Source organism: Homo sapiens, chromosome 17, assembly GCF_000001405.40.
Source record: "Homo sapiens chromosome 17, GRCh38.p14 Primary Assembly".
Classification (NCBI taxonomy): Eukaryota; Metazoa; Chordata; class Mammalia; order Primates; family Hominidae; genus Homo; species Homo sapiens.
In genome coordinates, this window is record NC_000017.11 from 76,656,419 (window position 1) to 76,678,985 (window position 22,567).

Genomic DNA, 22,567 nt, shown 5'->3' on the forward strand with positions numbered 1-22,567 from the left:
ATAAAGGTAGTAACAATACTAGCTGTTGTGCTGAAGGCGCCTTTGTGGAGAAGTTTTCTGGAGTAGCAGGAGACTTATTTTTAATGATTATTTCTCCAGCACCAGGCTCTATTGGTGCCGTGGACATAGTGATGAGCAAAATATAGCAGTCCTGCCTTCATTGAGGTAAGCTCCTAGAACAGAGACAGTGGAGAATCAATTAAACAGATAATAATCCATGCTATGAAGAAAAATGTGGCAGGGCGCCAAGGCTCACGCCTGTAATCCCAGGACTTTGGGAGGCCGAGGCAGGAAGATCGCTTGAGTCCAGGAGTTTGAGACTAGCCTGGCCAACACAGTAAGACCCTATCTGTACATAAAATTTTAAAAATTGGTTGGGTGTGGTGGCTCGTGCCTGTGGTCCCAGTTGCTGGGGAGGCTGAGGCAGGAGGATTGCTTGAGCTGAGGAGTTGGAGGCTGCAGTGAGCTATAATTGAACCATTGCACTCCAGCCTGGGCGAGAGAGTGGGACTCTGTCTAAATAAATAAATAAACAAATAAAAATGAAGCATAGAGTAAGAGCTGTGGTCAGGGAAGGCCTCTCTGAGGAAGTGACCAGGTAAAAGGAGGAAGTAAGCCATGAGAAATTTATAAAGGCTGGGAAATGTATAAAGAAAAGAGGTTTAATTTGCTCATGGTTCTGCAGACCGTACAGGACCACCATGACTCAGGTGGCTTACAGTCATGGCGTAAGGCAAAGGGGAACAGGCGCATCACATGCAGAAAGCAGGAGTGAGAGAAGGGGGAGGTCCCAGACTCTTAAACAACCAGATTTCTTTTCTCTTTTTTTTTTGAAACGGAGTCTCACTCTATCGCCCAGGCTGGAGTGCAGTGGCGCGATCTCGGCTCACAGCAACCTCCACCTCCTGGGTTCAAGTGATTCTTCTGCCTCAGCCTCCCGAGCAGCTGTGACTATAGGTGCCTGCCACCATGCCTGGCTAATTTTTGTATTTTTAGTAGAGACAGGGTTTCGCCATGTTGCCCAGGCTGGCCTCGAACTCCTGACCTCAGGTGATCTGCCCACCTCGGCCTCCCAAAGTGCTGTGATTACAGGCGTGAGCCACTGTGCCTGGCCAAAACATGTGTTTTGAGGCCCCTAGTTTGCTATTGTCCTGGACATACTAGCGTTCTTACTGATTTTAAAAGGGGTATAAATGATTTGGTGTGTCTTGATAGGTCTCATTCTATTTTGCTTCAAAGGCCACAAGCTATAATTATCATTGATTTTTGTTCTGTTGAAAATGTCTTTGTCAATATTCCCGGAGATATACAGCTTGTGAAAATCGTCCAAGATGAAAAGAATGTCTGCCCCCTTGATATTTGCTTAGGGAGTGAGGATAATGATCTCTTTGCAACTGATATTCTGCTTCAGAATATCATTTCTACCCAAATCAGACCAAAAAATCATTTGTTTTTTTCTTCAGGCTTTCCATCTGGGCTCTTTGTACCCACCTCTTTTTCTATGAGACGATTTGCCAGTAGAATACTCCATTTCAACAAACAGGTCTATGGAAAGAAGCAAACTAATTACATGCAGCTTCTTTTATGCTTGTGGCCCAGATTTAAGAGTTCCAGACCAGCCTGGGAAACAGATTTAGAAATGGAATCAAGTATTGACAGTGCTGTGATTGCTGAAGGCGGTCTACCTCTCCACCAGCACTGCCCATATGCTGGCAGGGTTCGAAAACCTTGTCTGAGTTGAGGAACAAGAAGAGGGCACCCCCAGGCCATCTCCCATGACCTTTGGAAGGTGCAGAAAAGCCTCGATGTCTCCATAGGAGGAAGCACAAAGTTGAGAGGAAGGGCAGGGCTCACACGCTGTCCAGGTGGCCTCTGAAGCAAATAATAGGGCCCTCCCTCTGGAGATTGGAAAGTGGATTTCCTGGTGGGGCCAGGGAAGACTAGGCTGGGTTTTCTGAGCAGGGCTTCGTTAAAGAGGGGACACCATCTATGCAGAGTCTACCCTATCCTCAGAGGTCAGCAGCAATAGATGGAACCAAGTCCAGCTGGATCTGGGGCCTCCTCACCTTGGACCTATAGTCAGCTACATTAAGACACCTCTGCTGTCTTCTTCCGTGTCCTGACCACTTCCATTTCCTGCTCTCCACACGAGGGCAGCTAGGAAGCGAGGCCTTGTAAAGAGAGGAGGCAGCAGGTATCACAGAACTAGACCAGGCCCACTCCCCAATCTCCTCATTCTCCCAGCAAGCAGTGTGAGTGCCCAGCTTGTGCTGGGAAGAGGAGGTGAAGCACTGTGAACCAGATATGCGAGTGGGGCTTGAAACAGGGCTGGCCTGAGCTTTACCAGGCTAAAGTGATGAATCTGCCCAAGATATTGCTAAGGGACTGAAGGGAGTTGGCATAGAGTGGAAGCAGTGATTAGAAAATAGAAAATGGGCTGGGCACCATGGCTCATGCCTGGAATCCCAGCACTTTGAGAGGCCAAGGAAGGCAGATCGCTTGAGCACAGGAGTTCAAGACAAGCCTGGGAAACATGGCAAAACTCCATCTCTTGTTTTTTTTTTTTTTTCTTTTTTGAGACAGCGTCTCACTCCAATGCCCAGGCTGGAGTGCAATGGTGTGATCTTGGCTCACTGCAACCTCTACCTCCTGAGTTCCAGCGATTCTCCTGCCTCAGCCTCTGGAGTAGCTGAGATTACAGGTGCCTGCCATCATGCCCGGCTAATTTTTATGTGTTTAGTAGAGATGGGATTTCACCACATTGGACAGGCTGGCCTTGAACTCCTGACCTGAAGTGATCTGCCCACCTCAGCCTCCCAAAGTGCTGGGATTACAGGGGTGAGCCCCCATGTCCGGCCAAAACCCCATCTCTACAAATACAAAAATTAGCCAGGCATGGTGGTGTGTGCCTTACTACAGGTACTCGGGAGGCTGAGGTGGGAGGATGGCTTAAGCCCAGGAGGCGGAGGTTGCAGTGAACCAAGATCACCCCACTGCACTCCAGCCTGGGCAACACAGCCAGACCTCATCTCAAAAAAAAAAAAAAAGAAAAAAGAAAAAGAAAATGGTTTCATGTTGATACCTCAATGAGGTGAGGCTTCTCAAGAAAACAACTGCACTTACACTCCTGTCTGGATACATTTCCCCCTCTCCTTTGATGTCCCCAGTCTGCCTCTTCTCTGACACTGGCAGTTCTGCCCTGAGGCCCTCTTCTCAGACAGCCCTGCAGCACTTTCTGCTACCCTTCTGTTTGGAACACTCAGAAGCCAAAGGTGCAACAACCTGTTGTTGACCTTTTCCTGCAGACTCCCCATTTCCTTGGGAGCTGTAGCCCAGGAATCCCGTAGTGGTAGGAGTCTAGCCCCAAGACTGTAGATCACTTAGGAGTTTCTTCTGTGAGAACATTCACAAAAATCAGAGGGAGGATTTTGCCAGTGAGTGCAGCCATTCCCTGCGAGTCAGTAACCCTCTGCCCTGCATCCATCCCTGCAGGAAGGACCGGCCAAGAACAATCGCCTCCATGGATGAGCAGCCACCCGCACCGCCCGGGACAGGGCAAGTCCTCTGCGGCACGGTGCATTCACCATGTAATTAGAGTCTGAGTTGTTTTGCTGAGTCACCCTATGTTTATCACATATTTTGACACTTCCTTGACAGCAAGCAGATGCCCCAAATTTTGTGTTTGCCCTGCTGGCGGTTACAGTAAATCAATAATAGTAGATAAGAAAAACAAGTAAACATCTCAAGCCCTAAAATGCAATAAAATCTGTCATTAAAAAAAACGGCTAGGAGGAAATTTGAGGGTTATCCTGCATGAGCCACACCCAGAGCCATGCAGGGAACGAAGTCTGCAGGTCCCCCGCTCTACCTTGGTGTCACCCAGGCATCTGAGAAACTCATCCACAGAGTCCAGCCCGAAGTTGCCATTCCCCAGAATGAGGAGTCTCCAGGGCTGGAGGAGAGGCAGTCCCAGGATGCTCAGCTGGTTGCAACCCCTGTCCCCACTTGCATCTCACCCCAATCAATAGCACTATCATCAGGATTCACGTCCCTTTTTTTTTTTTTTTTATTGAGACAGTGTCTTGCTCTGTCACCCAGGCTGGAGTGCAGTGGTGTGATCTCAGCTCATTGCAACCTCACCTCCCAGGTTCAAGCTATTCTCCAGCCTCAGCCTCCTGAGTGGCTGGGATTACAGGTGCCTGCCACCACGCCCAGCTAGTTTTTGTATTTTTAGTAGAGACAGGGTTTCATCATGTTGGCCAAGCTGGTCTCAAACTCCTGACTTCAGGTGATCCGCCCACCTCAGCCTCCTGAAATGCTGGGATTACAGGTGTGAATCACCTTGCCTGGCCTCAGGTCCCATTTCTTTCCCATGCAAGAAATGGTGTCGAGAATCAGGACCAGGAAATGTATATGGGTGTGGGCATCCTGTTTTGTCAGAAAGCAACGAAATTATCAAAGACAAATTTGTTCCAAGTTCACAGATCCTATTAAATAACTGGCCTGTACTCTTAGGAAATGTCAAGGTCACAAAAGACAAAGAGACTGAGGAGCTATTCCACATTAAGTGACACTATAGAGACAGAGGTAAATGCAGTGTTTAATCATGGATTAGATCCTGGAACAGACTTTTTTTTTTTTTTACATTAAAAACATTGTCGGTCAACTGGCAAAGTATGAATACACTCATAGATTAAATAATAGAATTGTATGAATATAAGTTTCCTAATATTGATCATTGCTCGCGATTATTTAACAGTATGTTCTGTTCTTTACTACAATATTTACAGGAAAAGGACACTGTGATTCATTCTCAAGTGGCTAAAACGATATATATATGTATGCCTATATATGAGAGAGAAAAATAATTAAACAAATGTGGTAAAATGCTAACTACTGGGGAATCCGGGTGAAGGGCAGATGGGAGTCTGTTGTACTAGCCTTGCAACTTTTCTGTAAGTCTTATTTCAAACTAAAGAAAAATTACCAAAGGAGGCTGAGCGTGGTGGCTTACGCCTGTAATCCCAGCACTTGGGAGGCTGAGGCAGGCGGATCACCTGAGGTCAGGAGTTCGAGACCAGCCTAGCCAACATGGTGAAACCCCATCTCTACTAAAAATACAAAAATTAGCTGGGTGTGGTGGTACATGCCTGTAATCTCAGCTACTCAGGAGGCCAAGGCAGGAGAATTGCTTGAACCTGGGAGGTGAACTTTGCAGTAAGCTGAGATCGTGCCATTGCACTCCAGCCTGGGTGACAGAGTGAGACTCCAATTCAAAAAAAAAAAAAAAAATCCAAAGGAAAAAGAAGTTCCCAGGAGCCAACACAAAAGCTCCCCTTTCCATACAAACTATATTTTAGTGAAACCACATAACCAATGAGGGAAAGTTCTTTATAGAATTTATACAGTTCATTGCAAGAGGAATAATAGAATCAGAAAACCATCATTTTACGAACTCCTACGACAATGATCATAAATGAACACTAAGACCTTGAGGCAGAAGCTCAGGTTGATGGAGGGAACAGGCTGACTTCATTGGCCAATCCCAGTGTCATCAAACTTGGGGTGACAGATATAGCCCTGGGAAGAATTCTGGTCACAAATTTGAATGCATTTGCATACAGTCCAGCCTTTAGAGCTCAGCGCAGGAAGTGCATCGCATACCCCCTCAGCCAAATCCAGGTGAATATTCTGTAAGACCTGGCTTCTCTAGCAAATCAATGTCAGTTTTTAAAAAAGATGAGAAGACTTAGCTGGGCGCGGTGGCTCACGTCTGTAATCCCAGCACTTTGGGAGGCTGAGGTGGGCGGATCACCTCTGGTCAGGAGTTCGAGACCAGCCTGACCAACATGAAGAAATCCCATCTCTACTAAAAATACAAAATTAGCCGGGCATGGTGGTGCGTGCCTGTAATCCCAGCTACTCGGGAAGGCTGAGGCAGGAGAATCGCTTGAACCCGGTAGGCGGAGGTTGCGGTGAGCTGAGATCGCACCATTGCACTCCAGCCTGGGCGACAAGAGCAAAACTCCGTCTCAAAAAAAAAAAAAAAAAAAAAAAAGATGAGGAGACTGTTGTGGAATAAAAGAGACTTGGGGGCACAACTAATTGCAGTGGGTGGCTCTTGTTTGGATTCTGATTTGAACAAACCAACTAATTTCTTATTTTTTAAATTAAAAATTTTTTTTTTCAGACTGTCTCACTCTGTCACCCAGGCTGGAGTGCAGTGGTGCAGTCTCAGCTCACTGCAACCTCTGCCTCCCACGTTCAGGCGATACTTATGCCCCAGACTCCCAAGTAGCTGGGACTACAGGCACGCGCCACCATACCTGGCTAATTTTTGTATTTTTAATAGAGGCAGGGTTTTGCCATGCTGCCCAGGCTGGTCTCGAACTCCTGAGCTCAAGTGCTGGGATTACAGGTGTAAACCACTGCGCCCTAAACCAAGCAATTTCAATAATCGGATATTAAATAACATTAAGGAATTATTACATGTATTAAAGGTGACAGTGATATGGTGATTATGTTTTTTTAAAATGTTCTTATTTTAGAAACAGGGTCTCACTCTGTCACCCAGGTTGGAGTGCAATGGCTTAATCATAGCTCACTGCAGCCTCAAACTCTTGGGCTGAAACAATCCTTCCCCCTCAGCCTCCTGAATAGCTGGAACTACAGCAACGCCACAACGTCCAGCTAAATTGTTTATTTTTTGTAGAGATGAAGTCTCACTTCATTACCCAGGCTGGTCTCAAACTCCTCTGCTCAAGTGATCCTTCTGCCATAGGCGTGAGCCACCGCAATTTAGATTATCTTATTTCCTTTTTTTTTTTTTTTTTTTTGAGACAGAGTCTTACTCTGTTGCCCAGGCTGGAGTGCAATGGCGTGATCTCAGCTCACTGCAACCTCCACCTCCCGGGTTCAAGCGATTCTCCTGCCTCAGCCTCCCGAGTAGCTGAGATTACAGGCCTGTGCCACCACGCCTGGCTAATTTTTGCAGTTTTTAGTAGAGATGGGGTTGCATCATGTTGGCCAGATCTTGAACTCCTAACCTCAAGTGATTTGCGTGCCTTGGCCCCCCAAAGTGCTGGGATTACAGGCATGAGCCACTGCGCCCAGTCTAAATTCTCTTATTTCCAAACACGAATTCGTTCCCTTTTTTCCCACCAGTCAAGGCTTTAGAAAATACGGCTGTCATGTCCTTCTTGTCCTTGCCTGGTGGTCTGGTGTCTGCTTTGACCCCCACCACCCCGCCAAACCTCATCACCTGCCCTTCAACAAAAAGTAACTCAATATGTGGCCAAGACCTCCAGCTTATATAGCATGGTCAAAAAAGACCAATAAAGTTGTAGGTAAGAGATAGGACAAAAGTAAGTGGCTGTAGGCTTTTAAGGGTGGGAAACTGGGAGAACACTAAAGGAGGAAGGAAGGTTTGTAGATTCCTCTGGTGCCCTCTCTGGGCTGGTAAGTCTCGAGTGGTCTCCAGTAAAGCAGAATTTCTATGCCTGCCTTTAGGCAAAAAAGGGGAAGGGTAGAGAAAGCTTTTCCTGTGTTTGCTGCTTTTGTTTTTGTTTTTGTTTGGAGATGGAGTCTCACTCTGTCGCCCAGGCTGGAATGCAGTGGCGCCATCTCGGCTCACCGCAAACTCCACCTCCTGGGTTCAAGTGATTCTCCTGCCTCAGCCTCCCGAGTACCTAGGATTACAGGTGCCCACCACCACGACCAGCTAAATTTTTTGTATTTTTAGTAGGGATGGGGTTTCACCATGTTGACCAGGCTGGTCTCGAACTCCTGACCTCGGGTGATCCACCTGCCTCAGCCTCCCAAAATGCTGGGATTACAGGCGTGAGCCACCACACCCAGCCTGTTTGCTATTTTTAAATTGCCTTTAGCTCAAAATAATTTTTATGCCACAGTGGCATATTTTGGGGCATAATATTCTGGTTTCTTACACTTGCAAGTGTCGTTCCCAAGTGCATGCCCCACTAAACTGCTTGTGCACAAATCTCCATAGGACCTGTTTCCAGGTGACTCAAGCTCAGGCAATCAGTCCCAGGAGTGGTCCTAACAAACAGACTCTAACATGGGATTTGAAGCTGGATCACCCTCTGACAGTGAGGACCCCATCACTAACCTATGTAGGGTACTGATAGCCCAAAGTTGTCAAAACTTTCCCTGAAGGTAGCCTGGATGGAATCATGGTGGAACAGAACCGACTATCTCCAAGGCCTCCAACAGGAGAGGGTCATTTTATACCTCCTTATGCGCCAGTGTGGAGTGGAAGAGTCAGGACACATTCCAGGGTAGGGGGAGAGGACACGGTACCCTTGAAATTTGTTTATTTTGATGACTGAAGGAAGACAGGATTTATATTCTCAGGGCAAAAAGTTCAAACATTAGAGATAAAGCTAAAGCCTTTTCCTTCTCTCCCTCCTTCCCTCCTTTCTTTTCTTTTCTTTCTTCTTTCTTTTTCTTCTTTTTGAGACAGGGTCTTATTCTGTTTCCCAAGCTGGAGTGCAGTAGTGCAAACAGGGCTCACTGCAGCCTCAACCTCCTGGGCTCAAGGGATTCTCGCACCTCAGCCCCCTGAGTAGCTGAGACTATAGGTGTGCACCACCACACCTGGCTAATTTTTAAATTTTTCTTTAATTTTTACTTTATTTATTTATTTATTTATTTATTCGTATAGAGATAAGGTCTTGCTATGTTACCCAGGCTGTTTTTGAGCTCCTGAGCTCAAGTGATACTCCCATCTCAGCCTCCCAAAGTGCTGGGATTACAGGCATGAGCTACTGAATCTGGCCTTCTGATTTTTCTGTAGAGACGAGTCTCACCATGTTGCTGAGGCTGGTCTCAAACTCATGGATTCAATCAATCCTCCCACTTTTGTTGCGGTAAACTGAGGAACGGAGAGACCAATATGGCCTCCCAAAGTTTAAAGTCTTTCTTTACTATCACACTTGTCTTTAAGGGCGGAGGGGAGAGCCTTTCTTGGCAACCATTTCAACCCCACTGTTAGTAGTATGTTATATACCCCTCTCTATAGAACTCTCTAGGTAATATTTATGAGGGTGTAACATAAATGAGATCATATTACACCACTGCTGTGCAATTGCTTGTTTTACTTAACCATGTGTCTTTTTTCTTTTTCTTTTCTTTTCTTTTTTTTTTTTTGAGACAGAGTCTTGCTCTGTCGCCCAGGCTGGGGTGCAGTGGCACGATCTCAGCTCACTGCAACCTCCGTCTCCTGGGTTCAAGAGATTCTCCTGCCTCAGCCTCCTGAGTAGCTGGACTTACAGGCACCCGCCACCACACCCAGCTAATTTTTGTATTTTTAGTAGAGATGGGGTTTCACCATGTTAGCTAGGCTGCTCTCAAACTCCTGACCTTTGGATCTGCCCACCTCGGCCTCCCATAGTGCTGGGATTACAAGCATGAGCCATTGCGCCCGGCCGACCATGTGTCTTAAGGATCTTTCCTTGTAGGTAGGTAGCATGGCTTCATCCCTTTTAACTGCTGCTAACTGCTGCATAATAGCCTGTAAGTTAGGCTGTTCCCAATTTTTCTTATCACACAGATGTTGTTGTAAACATCCCTGGACATATTTCCGTGGACTCCAAAATGTTTCTCTAGGGCAGATATATGTAGGATTATTCCATCATAGCGTATCTTGTTTACATTTTAATAAATTATATAAAATTGCTTGACCATTTATTAAAGTTAATACAATTTTAATAATTATATCATATTACTATTAGCAGAGTGTAATATGACTTTCCCTATACCCTTGACAAAATATGACATTATCAACCTTTCAATATTTTGGTGCTCTGGTAGTTTAAGAATTTTTTTAAAAGATTATTGCTTTCATTTGCATTTGTCTGATTACTGAGGTTGAGCATCTTTTTTCATATTTATTGACCACTTGCTTCAATGAATTTTCATACCCTTTGCTATGTTCTTTTCTTTCTCTGCAATTTAAAATAGAAAATAAAACACCCAGGTAAACAAAACCTAGACATTCTTGTGTGTGTATAATTTTTTTTTCCCGTTGTGATAAACTGCAACTGCAGTTTCTCAAATGCCTTCAACCTGAAATAATCAATTTACTAAATCTGCATTTTTCTTTTTTGAGACAGGGTCTCGCTCTGTCACTCAAGCTGGAGTGCAACTGATCATGGCTCACTGCAGCTGTGTCCTCCTGGGCTCAAGCAATCCTTCCACTTCAGCCTTCCCAGGTAGCTGACACTACAAGCACGCGCCACCACGCTCAGCTAATTTAAAAAAAAATTTTTTTTTGTAGATTTGGGGTCCCTCTATTGCTCAGGCTGGTTTTGAACTCCTGGGCTCAAGTAATCCTACCACTTCAGCCTCCCAAAGTCTTGGGATTACAGGCATGAGCCCTGCACCTGGCCCCAATCTGCATATTTTCAGGTTGATCATCCTTAATTCCTTCAGTGGCTAACATACATTCACATTGTTGTGCAACCATTGCCACCATCCATCTCCAGAACTTTTTCATCTTCCCCAACTGAAACTCTGTAGCCATTAGACAATAACTCTCCAGGCCAGGTGCGGTGGCTCATGCCTGTAATCCCAGCACTTTGGGAGGCCGAGGTGGATGGATCACTTGAAGTCAGGAATTTGAGACCAGCCTGGCCAACATGTTGAAACCCCATCTCTACTAAAAATACAAAAATTAGCCAGGCGTGTTGGCACGTGCCTGGAATCCCAGCTACTCTGGAGCTTGAGGCACGAGAATGGCTTGAACGCGGGAGGCGGGGATTGCAGTGAACCGAGATCACACCACTGCACTCCAGCCTGGGCAACAGAGCAAGACTGTGTCTCAAAAAAAAAAAAAAAAAAAGGATAATAACTCTCCAGTTTCCCCTCCTCTCAACCCCTGACAATCACCCTTTAACTTTCTGTCTGTATGAATTTGTCCAGTCTAGATACCTTGTATGAGTGGAATCACAGAATATCTGTCCTCTTGTGTCTGGTTTATGTCGCTGAGCGTAAGATGAGGGCTGCTTGCTTTTTGGCATGTCCAAAGCCTTGTGGGTTGTGGAGGATCCACTGGCCTGATACCTCTAGGAAGTGGGCAGTTGTCCCAACCGGGCCATGCTCCAGGGACCCCTCACTCCCAGCTGTGCAGCCCCCGTGGAGGGGGCAGTCCTCTTCAGTATGCCTGGACAGGGGTTCCCTTCTTCATGCCTCTCAAGGACTCCTCAGGGTGGAAGCAGTACAGCCTCAAAGCTAAGAGCCCCCAGTTCTGCACCAGGCAGAGTGGATTTGAATGCCTCCTGCTTCTTATTCACTAAGTTGGGCTAGTTACTTAGCTTCTCTGTGCTTGGATTTTCTCACCTGTAAAATGCAGAGGTCGGGTGTGGTGGTTCATAACTGTAATCGCAGCACTTTGGGAGGCCGAGGTGGGAGAATGACTTGAGCCAAGGAGACTGAGGCTGCCGTGAGCTGTGATGACGCCACTGAACTGTAGCCTGGGCGGTAGAACAAGGTCCTGCCTACAAAAAAAAAAAAAAAGGCAGATGCCAGCACTAATAATCATAGTGGATACTTTGCTGTGCTACCCTTATCTCTCATTAGGAATGAAGGATCTTTAAGGATCTTTCCCCCAGTTCTTGGAGTGCTGCTGCCGTCAAAAAGCCTCCACTGTCATCATGTATGGGGGTGGGGGTGCTACTTCACTGGGGAGAGTAGCTTCACAACTACTCCCCACAGTGTCTGCTCAGCCTCTACTGAGACTGCATCACAGCTCTCCCTCCTCCCTGCGCTGAGTCCTCTCCCTTTCCTCCTCCTCCTGCAGGTCTTGACCTGGGAGCACCCCTAACAAACCTCTTACGTGCCGACCTCCACCTCCATTGGCTTCCTGGAGACTCAACCTGCCACGTATCATGTTTCTCACAAGGACTAAATTGCATAGAACATAAAGTTCTAAGCTGGGCGCTGTGGCTCACGCCTGTAATCCCAACACTTTGGGAGGCAGAGGTGGACAGATCACTTGAGGGCAGGAGTTCGAGACCAGCCTGGCCAACATGGTGAAACCCTGTTTCTACTAAAAATACAAAAATTAGCCAGGCATGCCTGTAATCCCAGCTATTTGGGAAGAGGATGCATGAAAATTGTTTGAATCCTGGAAGGCAGAGGTTGCAGTGAGCCAAGATTGCACCACTGCACTCCAGCCTGGGCGACAGAGAGAGACTTCATCTCAAAAAAAAAAAAAGAACATAAAAGTTTTTATCCCAGAGCTAGACACAGCGAACAATAAACATTAGTTGGTATCATTATACTTTCTTTTCTCTAATGGTTACAAATGAAAAAATAAATAAAATTCCTCTCAAAAGGCCAAAGGGGGCTGGGTATGATGACTCATGCCTGTAATCCTAGCACTTTGGGAGGTGAAGGCAGAAGGATCACTTGAGGTCAGGAGTTTGAGACCAGCCTGGCCAACACAGTGAAACCCTGTCTCTACAAAAAATACAAAAATTAGCCGGGTGTGGTGGCACGTGCCTGTAATCCCAGCTACCAAGGAGGCTGAGGCTGGAGAATCGCTTGAACCCGGGAGGCGGAGGTTGCAGTGAGGGGAGATCACACCACTGCACTCCAGCCTGGGTGACAGAGCGAGACTCTATTTCAAAACAAAAACAAAAAGTCCCAAGGAGAGACCACAATATGTGCTCATGGTGCCATTCTGACTGGGATCTTTTATCTTCAATGCTATATATATATACATAGGTATATACATGCTTTATTGAGATATAATTAACATACCATACAATTCATCTATTTAAAGCATACAATTCAATGGCTTTTTGTACATTCAGAGTTGTGCAACCATCACTAATCATTTTAGAACATTTTCATTACGTGTCCTCCCCCACCAAAAACCCCTGTACCCATCAGCAGTCACTTCTCTTCCCTCCTCCCCACCCCCAGCCTCTGGCAACCATAAATCTACTTTCTGTCTCTATAGATTTGGCTATCCTGGACATTTCATGTAAATGGAATCATACACTATGTGGTCTTTGTGTCTGACTTCTGTCACTTAGCGTGATGTTTTCAGAGTTCATCCAAGTTGCAGAATGTATCAGTACTTCATTCCTTGTTACTGTTGAATATTCCGTGATGTGGATAGATCACATTTTGTTTATCCATGCATCCAGTTGATGGATGTTCTTTCCACCTTTTAGCTTTTTTTTTTTTGAGACAGAGCCTCCATCTGTCACCCAGGCTGGAGTGCGGCGGCGCAATTTTGGCTCACTGCAACCTCTGCCTCCTGGGTTCAAGTGATTCTCCTGCTTCAGTCTCTGCAGTGGCTGGGATTACGGGCATACCATCACGCCCAGCTAGTTTTATTTTTATTTTTGTATTTTTGTATTTTTTTAGTAGAGAAGGAGTTTCATCACGTTGGCCAGGCTGGTCTTGAACTCCTTACCTCAGGTGATCTGCCCACCTTGGCCTCCCAAAGTGCTGGGATGACAGGCGTGAACCACTGCACCTGACCACCTTTTAGCTATTATTTCCGCTTTTTGGCTATCATGAATAATGCTGCTCCAAGCATCCATGTACAAGTTTTTACGTGGACATATGTTTTCATAGGCATATGCCTAAGAGTACGTACATATTCTTTCGGTTATACACCTAAGAACGGAATCGCTGCGTCATTTGGTATCACTTTAATATTGGGAGAAACTGCCAGTTTTCCAAAGCAGCTGCACCATTTTGCATTTCCATGAAGAGTGTGTGAGGGTTCCAATTCCTCCACTTCCCCACCACTTGTTATTATCTGTCTTTTTTATTATAGCCATCCTCGTGATGTAAAGCGGTGTCTTGTTGTTGCAGTTTTTGATTTGCATTTGATTGACATGTTGAGCATCTTTTCATGTGCTTATAGGTTATTTGTGTATCTTTTCTGGGAAAATGTCTATTTAGATCTTTTGCTTATTTATTGAGTCTTATTCAATGTTTTGAGTTTTGTTTTCTTCATCTGTAAAAGAATGTTACAGCCTTCATAGAGCAGTGATTAATGAGAACATTTATTTGCAAGGCACACAGCACAGTGCTCTGCAGGGCACTTGGCATGCACTCCAAAAAGTTATCAAAACTTCCTGTCACCTTGCCTTGCAAGTAGAAACCAAGTGGAGTTCGTTCTGCATTACGTCACCTACCATAGTGTTTTGCATGAAGACAGGCTCAATAAATGTCTGAGAGTAAATGGACCAATTCACAACATTCAATATTCAAATCTGAATCCTCTGTGCTTTGCCCCCTTTCTCCCATTTCTCTCATTGAACCTTTTCTTCCTGGAACAATTTTCTTAATTTTATTCCCCTTGCCAGCTGCCTCCTCTTCTGAAATTTAACTTGCAGTATCATTGAAGCTGAGTACAAAGAGAACCAAAGACACCACCTGTGGCAGTCCCGAGGTGAATGTGATAAACCATTGAAGGAGCTGAGCGTCTGACAGCCTGTGAGCATAGCCTGTCCCATCTTAGTAAGAGCCACAAAAAGTAATTAAAGTACTGAAAAGAATGAGAAAAGGGAGATTTTCAAAAACGCTGATTGCAGACTGAGTTATTTAACACGGTTCAGCAACCGTGGTCTGAGGAATTTTCACTTGTAGAGGACTCAGGCCGCCATCAGGCCCGAAGAGTCCAGGTTGGTGGGGCCACTCCCCGCGGTGTGGAGCCTGCAGGGGGCCACGACTGGGTGCAGAAAAGGAATGTGATCATTCAGCCGAGTGGTAAGTCCAACCCATTTCACGCGCACTCAGCCTGCACTCTACGTGCTCTGGTAAAGCCCAGCTGAGGTGCCTGGGGCAGGACTTGAAAGGGCAAGCACAGGTGAGGGAAGGTGTGACTGTCAGCCCAGTACCAGACACCACGGTGAGATGTGAAGCTGGGTGTGTACGGAACTGCTGGTTTTACCTTAGGCCTGGGACAATAGGGAATGTGAAAAGCAAGGGTGTGTGTGTGTGTGTGTGTGTGTGTCTTGGCGCCAGCTGCAGTACCGCCGTCTGAAACCCCCTGAAACCCTGGGCCACCCTCTGAATCTGCTGCTCGAGGGCAAGCCTGGGAGCGTCAGGGGGAGGAAGGTGGAGACACAGGTGTCCCAGAGGGCAGGGACTGGTTTCAGCTCATCTTGGTATTCCCGGGCCCAGCTTGGTGCCCAAGGACCGTTCGTGGAGCTCATGAAATGCTCCCCCAGGCCCGGCACGGTGGCTCACGCCTGTAATCCCAGGCCGGGCTGGGCCGCATTCTCATTGGACGATGGCCTTTGTCAATCACTGAGGGAAATAGATCTTGAGTGTGGCCGGACATCCGGGGCTTTCCACCCTCGGCGTGGGGCGGGCTTGAGGTGGGGAAGATGGAAGGATGCGATACCCAATGGGGATCAAGGCCTTTGGCTTCGCGGCAGATTGGCAGGTGCTTGAACCACTGAAATGCCGCAGAGGGATACCGGCGCTATGGCAGTGATTGGTTCACTTCGCGGGTGGGTGGTTTTCTCCGTGCGTTGGTCCCTACAGTAGATAAAACGGGCACAGTAGCTAAAATTAACGCCTAAGTAAAACCGCTGCCGGTGAGTTTTGGGAGTATTTTCGCTTTTTTGAAAGTTAGTATTTTGGCTCTCACAAAGCCTCCTGATTTTAGTAGGCTTTCCCTGGAATGACCCAGATTCCTTTTCGTTACCTTAGTTAAGGCACCCCCTCCCCGTGCAGGGTCAGGGTTGGAAAACTACCGCGCTGAGCCCAAATTACCGCGAAGATCGTCGGAAATGTGCGCAACTCAGCTAAAGCGGAGATTTAATGGATGGTATTCAGTAGAAAATGGGACAAGACATGAATGGACAGTTTACAGGAAAAAAAAATGCAAGGGGCCCCTAAACATTTAAGTGGGTGCTCAGCCTTTTTCATAATCAGAAGAATGCAAACGAAAACCTCACTGAGCTAAGGCTTCTGATCCATCAGATTGTCAAAAATCCAAAAGTTTAACAAGCGAGGTACGCTGTTAAGGACAATACAGGAACCTGATCTGTCCTGCATTGTTGGGAGGGAGTGCAAATTTACCTTTGACCCGCAATCCACCTCTAGAATCTACTCTGAAAGTAAACTTGCACAAATATGAAAACAGCATACGCGCAAGGTTTTATTTGTAGTGGCACTGTATGAATTTGCAAGACTGGAAACCATGCAGATGTCCATGAGAGGGGGAGTGGCTGAGTAAACTGGTACATCCGGGCTGGTACTACAGCCCAGCTGACTCTGTGGCGTTAAGAAAAATGAGGAAAACTACAATATTTTCTATGGCGTGATTTGTCTCCAGAGATGATGTATATTGGCTGCTACCGTTAGCAAAAAGAAGCACTGAAACGATAAAACCAAAACTGATAAAATTGATAGCGTAAATGGTGGAGAATCCGGTGGAAGCCCTAGAGGGGTTCCACCAAAAGAAAAATAAGGTGACAATAATAATAGTAAAAAGAATCTGTGGCAGTAGGAATCTGCCAGGCTTCCTGTTCTGGAACCCAGCACTAGACCCGGAAAGGCATGTTTGGCTGGGTGGGCCTCAAGTTACTTATAATTGGTGGCCATGCTATAGCCTGAGTGAAGGATTTCTGGTACCCTGCCGCTCTCCAAAAAGACGTCTCTTTGGGAACTCTAGAACTGGAATGGTCCATCAGCACCTGCCTTTTGGCAGAGAGGGCAGGCCTTTGTACCCCACTAGTGACTTGGTTTGGAGGTGGGCTGCCCCCAGAACAGGATGTAATCTTGGGCAAGGCAGCTGCTGTCAGGCTGGGCACAACCTCCCCCTCAAGGCTGTGAGGAGGGAAGAAAGGAAACAACTTCTACTTTCTTTAAAGTAGGAAACCTCCTCATCTGCCACCTCTCCTGCAGTGAGAAGTAGAGACTAGACGTGGATACTCCCACATAGGATACTGGGGCCTAATGGATGACTGTGGGCCTCCACCAGGCGCAGGTGACCCTGCAGATATGATTCAGAGGCAGCCTCTCGCTGCTGTTCATCAGCAGCCTGATTCCATGTGGACTATACTGTTGCTTTCAGAAATCATGGTCTGCCTGGACCTAGCCAGGCTCACTGTTGAAGTCTTGTTGTGTGCTCTTCCTTCCAGGCCCAGAGAGCTGCCCAGTAGATCAACTTGGGCTTTCTATCAGGCTCTAAGTACAGGCAGGTCCTTAGGACAAATTAGAATAAAACAATCTCAGAGTGATCTGGTCTTAGTATAATTACTTACATTTTCAAATTAAAAAAAAAAAAGGAAAACCAGTAACAAATCAGCCACGGCAGAGAGGGGTACTGGGAGTTGATAGAAAATTTGTCCTCAGTTGTAGGTTACTCTTAAAGCAGCTTAGATTGCATGTTTTCTTCAGGGTCATTGGAAAAGGTGGTTACCGTCAGTCCAGGAAGTGGGGAGCCAGCTAATTGTATCCAGATGGAGGTACAGTGGACGCTTTGAGGGAAGGAGGCCCTGAAACGTCTCTAGCAAGCAGGCTTTGGTAAACAGAACTGCAGATACTGATGAGTGACAGTCCACTGCTATTTGTGTCATGTAGGCAGGCCAGCCTGGGGCAGGGTTCTCAGCAGTGATGGAGGGCAGGGGAGAGATGTAAAGGCTTTGAGACTGGTTCCCATCGCTGGAAAGAGGCTCTGTGCAGCTGAATGCTTTAGGTTCTCTCAACCCCCACACCCAGAGAGAGTTCCATTGGGATTGGCTTCTGTAGGCCTCTGTGGCTCTTAGGTTCTTGGTGGCAGTGACATACATACTGGTGATTCTCTGACATGGCTGCCAGGTAGACATCTTTCTCTCGGTGTTTGCGCTCTTTCTCCCACACTGCTGTTTCTTTCTGCCCTCCTTTATGCTTTTTAGCTTAGATTTGGTTCATTCACTGAAATGAATCTCTGTGAGCTGATGAGAACAATCTCAGATGAGGTAGCAGAAATGGTGTCAACAGAGGCCAGCACTTACGGGGAATAGATAGGAGCCACCCAACACCACAGCAAATCAGCAGTGTTTCCATGAAGTGTCCAAGGCCAGGGGTGGGGCCTGGGCGGTGGACACCCACCACCGAGGAAGAGGAGGATGCTGAGCACTTCAGACACTGGCTTCCGAGTGCCCACCAAGCCCTGTCCTGGACCTCATAGGAAACCCAACTGGAACAGGTGTCTCCCCAACACCCATGCTCCCTTTTATCACAGATCCCCAGTGAAATTCAGTTACCTTCTCCTCCAGATGGCCATGTATTCAGGGGATGCTGGGCCCAGCCCCAGGCTCCAGGGGTCTAGGCCAATCATGCTGGTCCCATGTCCTTGCCCATGATTGGTTGAAACATGGGCACGTGCCATATTCTGGCCAATTGGGATCTGAAGGGATGTGGGGCGGGGACATCTGGACCAGTTCCCTTACGCCTAGAGACGCAAGCAAGACATGCCCTTTTCTTGCTTCTGGATGAGATACCTGAACTCCTGCAGCCATCTTGCCACCATGAGGAGAGCTAGTCTCCAATAAAAGCCCACAGTACGAGGAAGACTGAGCTAAGAGAACTGCAGCTTGAGCTCCGACCATTCTGGGCCTGGAGTTGTTCTAACTCTTGGCTTCTCACGTGAGAGAGCCCTGTTCTTGTTTAAGCCAGTTGAGCTGGAGTTTTCTGTCGTTGCAGTCAGAACATCTTAGCTGGTACAAGTGTACAAAAATTCCTTCAGTTTACTTTTCCCAATGCCATCAGGATTTTGACTCAAGTACACGAGTCATTCCTGTTTGGTATAATCAGAAAAGAAAGGAGAGGGAGAAGAAAGTGGGCAATGGAAACACAGGAGCTTTGCAGTGCAGCCTTGGGAGGGATAAGGGCACCTACGGGTTTGCCCTGCCCACCGATGTGCATTTAGGGGACAGAGACATTAGCTGAGGTAAGGGGTCCCTAAGACCTGAGACAGAACAAATAATTTTTTTTTTTTTTTTTTTTTTTTTTTGAGACAGAGTCTTGCTCTGTCACCCAGGCTAGAGTGCAGTGGCGCGATGGCTCACTGGAACCTCCGCCTTCTGAGTTCAAGCGATTCTCCTGCCTCAGTCTCCTGAGTAGCTGGGATTACAGGCGTGCGCTACCACGCCTGGCTAATTTTTGTATTTGTAGTAGAGACAGGGTTTTGCCATATTGGCCAGGCTGGTCTTGAACTCCTGACCTCAAGTGAACAGAGAATTCTTAAATCATAACATGGTTAAATGCTTTTGACAAAACACATTAAAACAATTTCAAGAAGGAAAAAAGCACTGACCACAAAAAGAAAGAAAAACACTCGTATTTGGATCCAACAACAGACACAGAGAGTGAATGGTCAGCAAGAAACAAAAGGAATCAGAGTGGAACAGAGAGGGGCTCCCGAAAAACCCCTGGCAGGCAAGAGGCGACGGCGGGAAGTTAACCTCATGATGGTGAGCATGAGGCATGGAAATGCCACTGCTCCACTTTTTTTTTAAGGTAGTGTGTTGATTGAGCTTTATTTCAGCAAACAAAAAATATTTCTAAGAACTTGCATAGGTTCTGTCGTTAGCATACCCTCCCTAACTCAGTTTGCTCAAGAACTGTGAATTGTCCTGCCAGTGGGGTGATCAGAAATGGGACCTGCATGGTATGAGGACCAGTTATCCCCATCATTGTATGTTCACTCACAAAGACAGAACAATCCCCTCCGGTGTCACAGGCACTGTTCTGTAAGATCACTTTGGCATTTTATTGAATACTTTCTGGTGAGGTTCTCTTTCCCTGCACACAGGCTTTTCTTCCCTAAAGGCCTCTAACCTGCTGGAAGATAGGGACCAAGTTGAGTATTTTATTTCTTCTGTCTACAGCATCCAGCATAGTTCTAATTAAATACAATTAGGCAAGTACTCAAATAAGTCTTGCCTAATTATATTTAAAGTAAGTATCCTGCTTAAGTGAGAGAAATTCTTGGCAGATCTTACCTCTAGTACTATTGTTTAGTGCCAGGATGGAAGGTGAGTCTCTGAATTAGACTTTTTGCTGAAAGAACGCTCCCAGCTGGGCATGGTGGCTCACGCCTGTAATCCTAGCACTTTGGGAGGCCGAGGCAGGTGGATCACCTGAGGTCAGGAGTTCGAGACCAGCCTGGCCAACATGGTGAAACTCCATCTCTACTAAAAATACAGAAATTAGCTGGGTATGGTGGTGCATGCCTGTAATCCCAGCTACTAGGGAGGCTGAGGCAGGAGAATCACTTGAACCCAGAAGGTGAAGGGCACAGTGACCAGGCGCCAGAGTGAGACTCTGTCTCAAAAAGAAAAAGAAAAAAACGCTCTCCTTTAGCTGGATGTAGTGGTACACACCTGTAGTCCCAGTTACTCAGGCTGAGAGGAGGATTTTGTGCGCCTGGGAGGTCAAGGCTGCAGTGAGTCATGATGGCACCACTGCACTCCAGCCTGGGTGACAGTGAGACCTCGTCTCAAAAACAAAAACAAAACAAAAAAACCATGCTCCCCTACAGCTTTCTTCCCTACAGTTACAGAAGCTTCCAGAAATCCTCGTAAGGCAGAATAAGAGTGTAGTATTGGCCGGGCATGGTGGCTCACGCGTGTAATCCCAGCACTTTGGGAGGCCAAGGTGGGCGGATCACCTGAGGTCAGGAGTTCGAGACGAGCCTGGCCAGCATGGCAAAACGCTGTCTCTACTGAAAATACAAAATTAGCCAGGTGTGATGGTGCATGCCTGCAATCCCAGCTACTCGGGAGGCTGAGGCAGGAGAGTCGCTTGAATCAGGGAGGTGGAGGTTGCAGTGAGCCAAGATCACGCCACTGCACTCCAGCCTGGGAGACAGAGTGAGACTCCATCTCAAACAAACAAAAAAAGATTTGGATCAGGAGAGGGCCTCAGAGCCCAATAACAGCTGGAACCTCACCAGCAAGCAGAAACCAGAGGGGTCAGGGACTTTGTCTTCTGAATAAAACAATTTTGATTCCTGCAAAGTAATATACACACTGCAAGAACTCGGCAAGTACCTATAGAATGTACGCCTGCATCTATGTTTATAAGGGAAAATTAGGCCTACAGAAGTCTGGAAAGAACAAGGGCATGGGGCAAGGGTGGGGACAGCATCAGGCATGGCCGCTGTGCATCCCGTGGGCGCAGTCTACATGTCGTAGAGCCGGAGCTGCTCCTGCACGTCGCCGTCGGACATCTCGCCAAACGTCTCCTTGTTGTCTTTCATGAGCTTGAAGATGGCAGCCAGCTGTTCCTTCTGAACTCTGTCGAGAAGAAAGGACAAAGAGGAAGAAGGTGCTCCTAGCCCACTGGGGAGAGAGGGAGCCTGTGTGCAGCCGGCGGAGTTGGGACTCTCCTCTCTCTTGTGTGACTGCGGTTGCTTTTCAGAACAAGAAGAAAATGAAAATAAAACCCACTTAGAACATCGGAGCTGGTTGGGTCTGACACACGCAACTTTTGAGGGCTCTAAAAACTGGGATGCGAAATCTCAGGTTTGCCGGGGAGGTTTGGGGACCCCAGGTATCACTTAGGTGCTCTGTGCCTCAGTTTCCCTTTGGGCCTCATTTGATTGTTGACTGCATGTCCCACAGTGATGTAATGAGGAAGAAGATAGGCTCCATGAAGCAGCTTGAGGTAGTGCTATGAAGAAGTAGGTTAGAAACAGCCTTCGTTGAGAGGAATGAGCCGAAAGTGGAGAAAGAAAAAACATTATCAGCTGGGAAATCAGGGAGCATACAAGTGTGTGCAAGACGGTGCTTGGCAAAGGAGCGGGGAGGGAAGCCTGTGGGGTTTCACTGGCCAGAGAAAGGGGGGTGCCTTTTCCTAATTTGCACAAGATACCCTATGGCAGGTGGCGGCCCTGCCCCTTTTATCAAGGGATGGGTGTGGAGGAAGACTGGCCTAAATGTTTGCTCCACGCGGGTTCTGTGCTGGGAGCAATGTCTTGTTATCTTTATGAGGCTCAGCTACACCATCTGACCAGCACAGGACAACTTCTGCAGCACAAACACCTCAGGTGGGGCGAGGCGGCTGCCGAACCCAGGGAGCCATATGTTTGTTGTTTGCTCCACTCTGGTGCCCTGTGCTCCTCAGCCCAGCCGGGCACTGCATCCTGGCTGCATCTCACTCTTCTGGTTTCTGCAGTTCCTGCCCCCCACACACCACGGGCTCAGTGCCTTCAGAGAACGTAAACCACATCACAGTGTCGGACCTCTCAGCCCTGCTCTGCAGCTGGGTCGGCTGTAAGCACGTTACAGGCTCTGCAACCGCAGGACCTCAGCATAGCCCTGGGCCACTGGCATCCCCCACACTGCCTGGAGGGGTGGTCTCCACGTTCGCTCCCATACTTTTGCTACCATATTCCTTTGCTTCACCCTTCCCTCCTCTCCTCAGCCCCGCATCTTCCATCCTGCAAAATTTTCTGTCTAGAGCAGCATCTAGTAGTTGAAATACTGAAGTCCCACTTCCCAGCCTCCCTTGTCCCCTGGGAAAGCTGTGTCTACAGTCGGTTCCCCTGTCTGGTGAAGCAGCAGCCTATGATGTGTGC

General features: G+C 47.2%; 1 protein-coding gene and 1 long non-coding RNA gene across 4 annotated transcripts in view, besides 3 other annotated features; one reads left to right on the plus strand and one right to left on the minus strand.

Annotated features, from left to right (window-relative positions):
- Nucleotides 14,355-15,312: an enhancer, noted in NCBI's record as "H3K27ac-H3K4me1 hESC enhancer chr17:74666855-74667812 (GRCh37/hg19 assembly coordinates)". NCBI's record gives its function as "activates a minimal SCP1, AML or CMV promoter by ChIP-STARR-seq in naive H9 embryonic stem cells {active_cell/tissue: H9 hESC(naive)}" and the evidence as "EXISTENCE:reporter gene assay evidence [ECO:0000049][PMID:30033119]".
- Nucleotides 14,355-15,341: a biological region, named in NCBI's record as "H3K27ac-H3K4me1 hESC enhancer GRCh37_chr17:74666855-74667812".
- Nucleotides 15,282-15,341: an enhancer, noted in NCBI's record as "active region_12813". NCBI's record gives its function as "activates an Ori minimal core promoter by ATAC-STARR-seq in GM12878 lymphoblastoid cells {active_cell/tissue: GM12878}" and the evidence as "EXISTENCE:reporter gene assay evidence [ECO:0000049][PMID:35858748]".
- On the plus strand, nucleotides 15,510-17,240 carry LOC105274304 (uncharacterized). The gene has a single exon (NR_130916.1). It is a non-coding gene; the product is annotated as an uncharacterized LOC105274304 (long non-coding RNA).
- Nucleotides 16,133-22,567, minus strand: part of MXRA7 (matrix remodeling associated 7) — a 38,415-nt gene continuing 31,980 nt past the window's right edge. For all 3 annotated transcript variants that reach the window (NM_001008528.3, NM_001387278.1, NM_001387276.1), the window contains one exon: nucleotides 16,133-21,284. In NM_001008528.3, coding sequence (NP_001008528.1) covers nucleotides 21,170-21,284 — 115 coding nt within the window. In that variant the 3' untranslated portion in view covers nucleotides 16,133-21,169. The remainder of the gene's footprint in view (nucleotides 21,285-22,567) is intronic.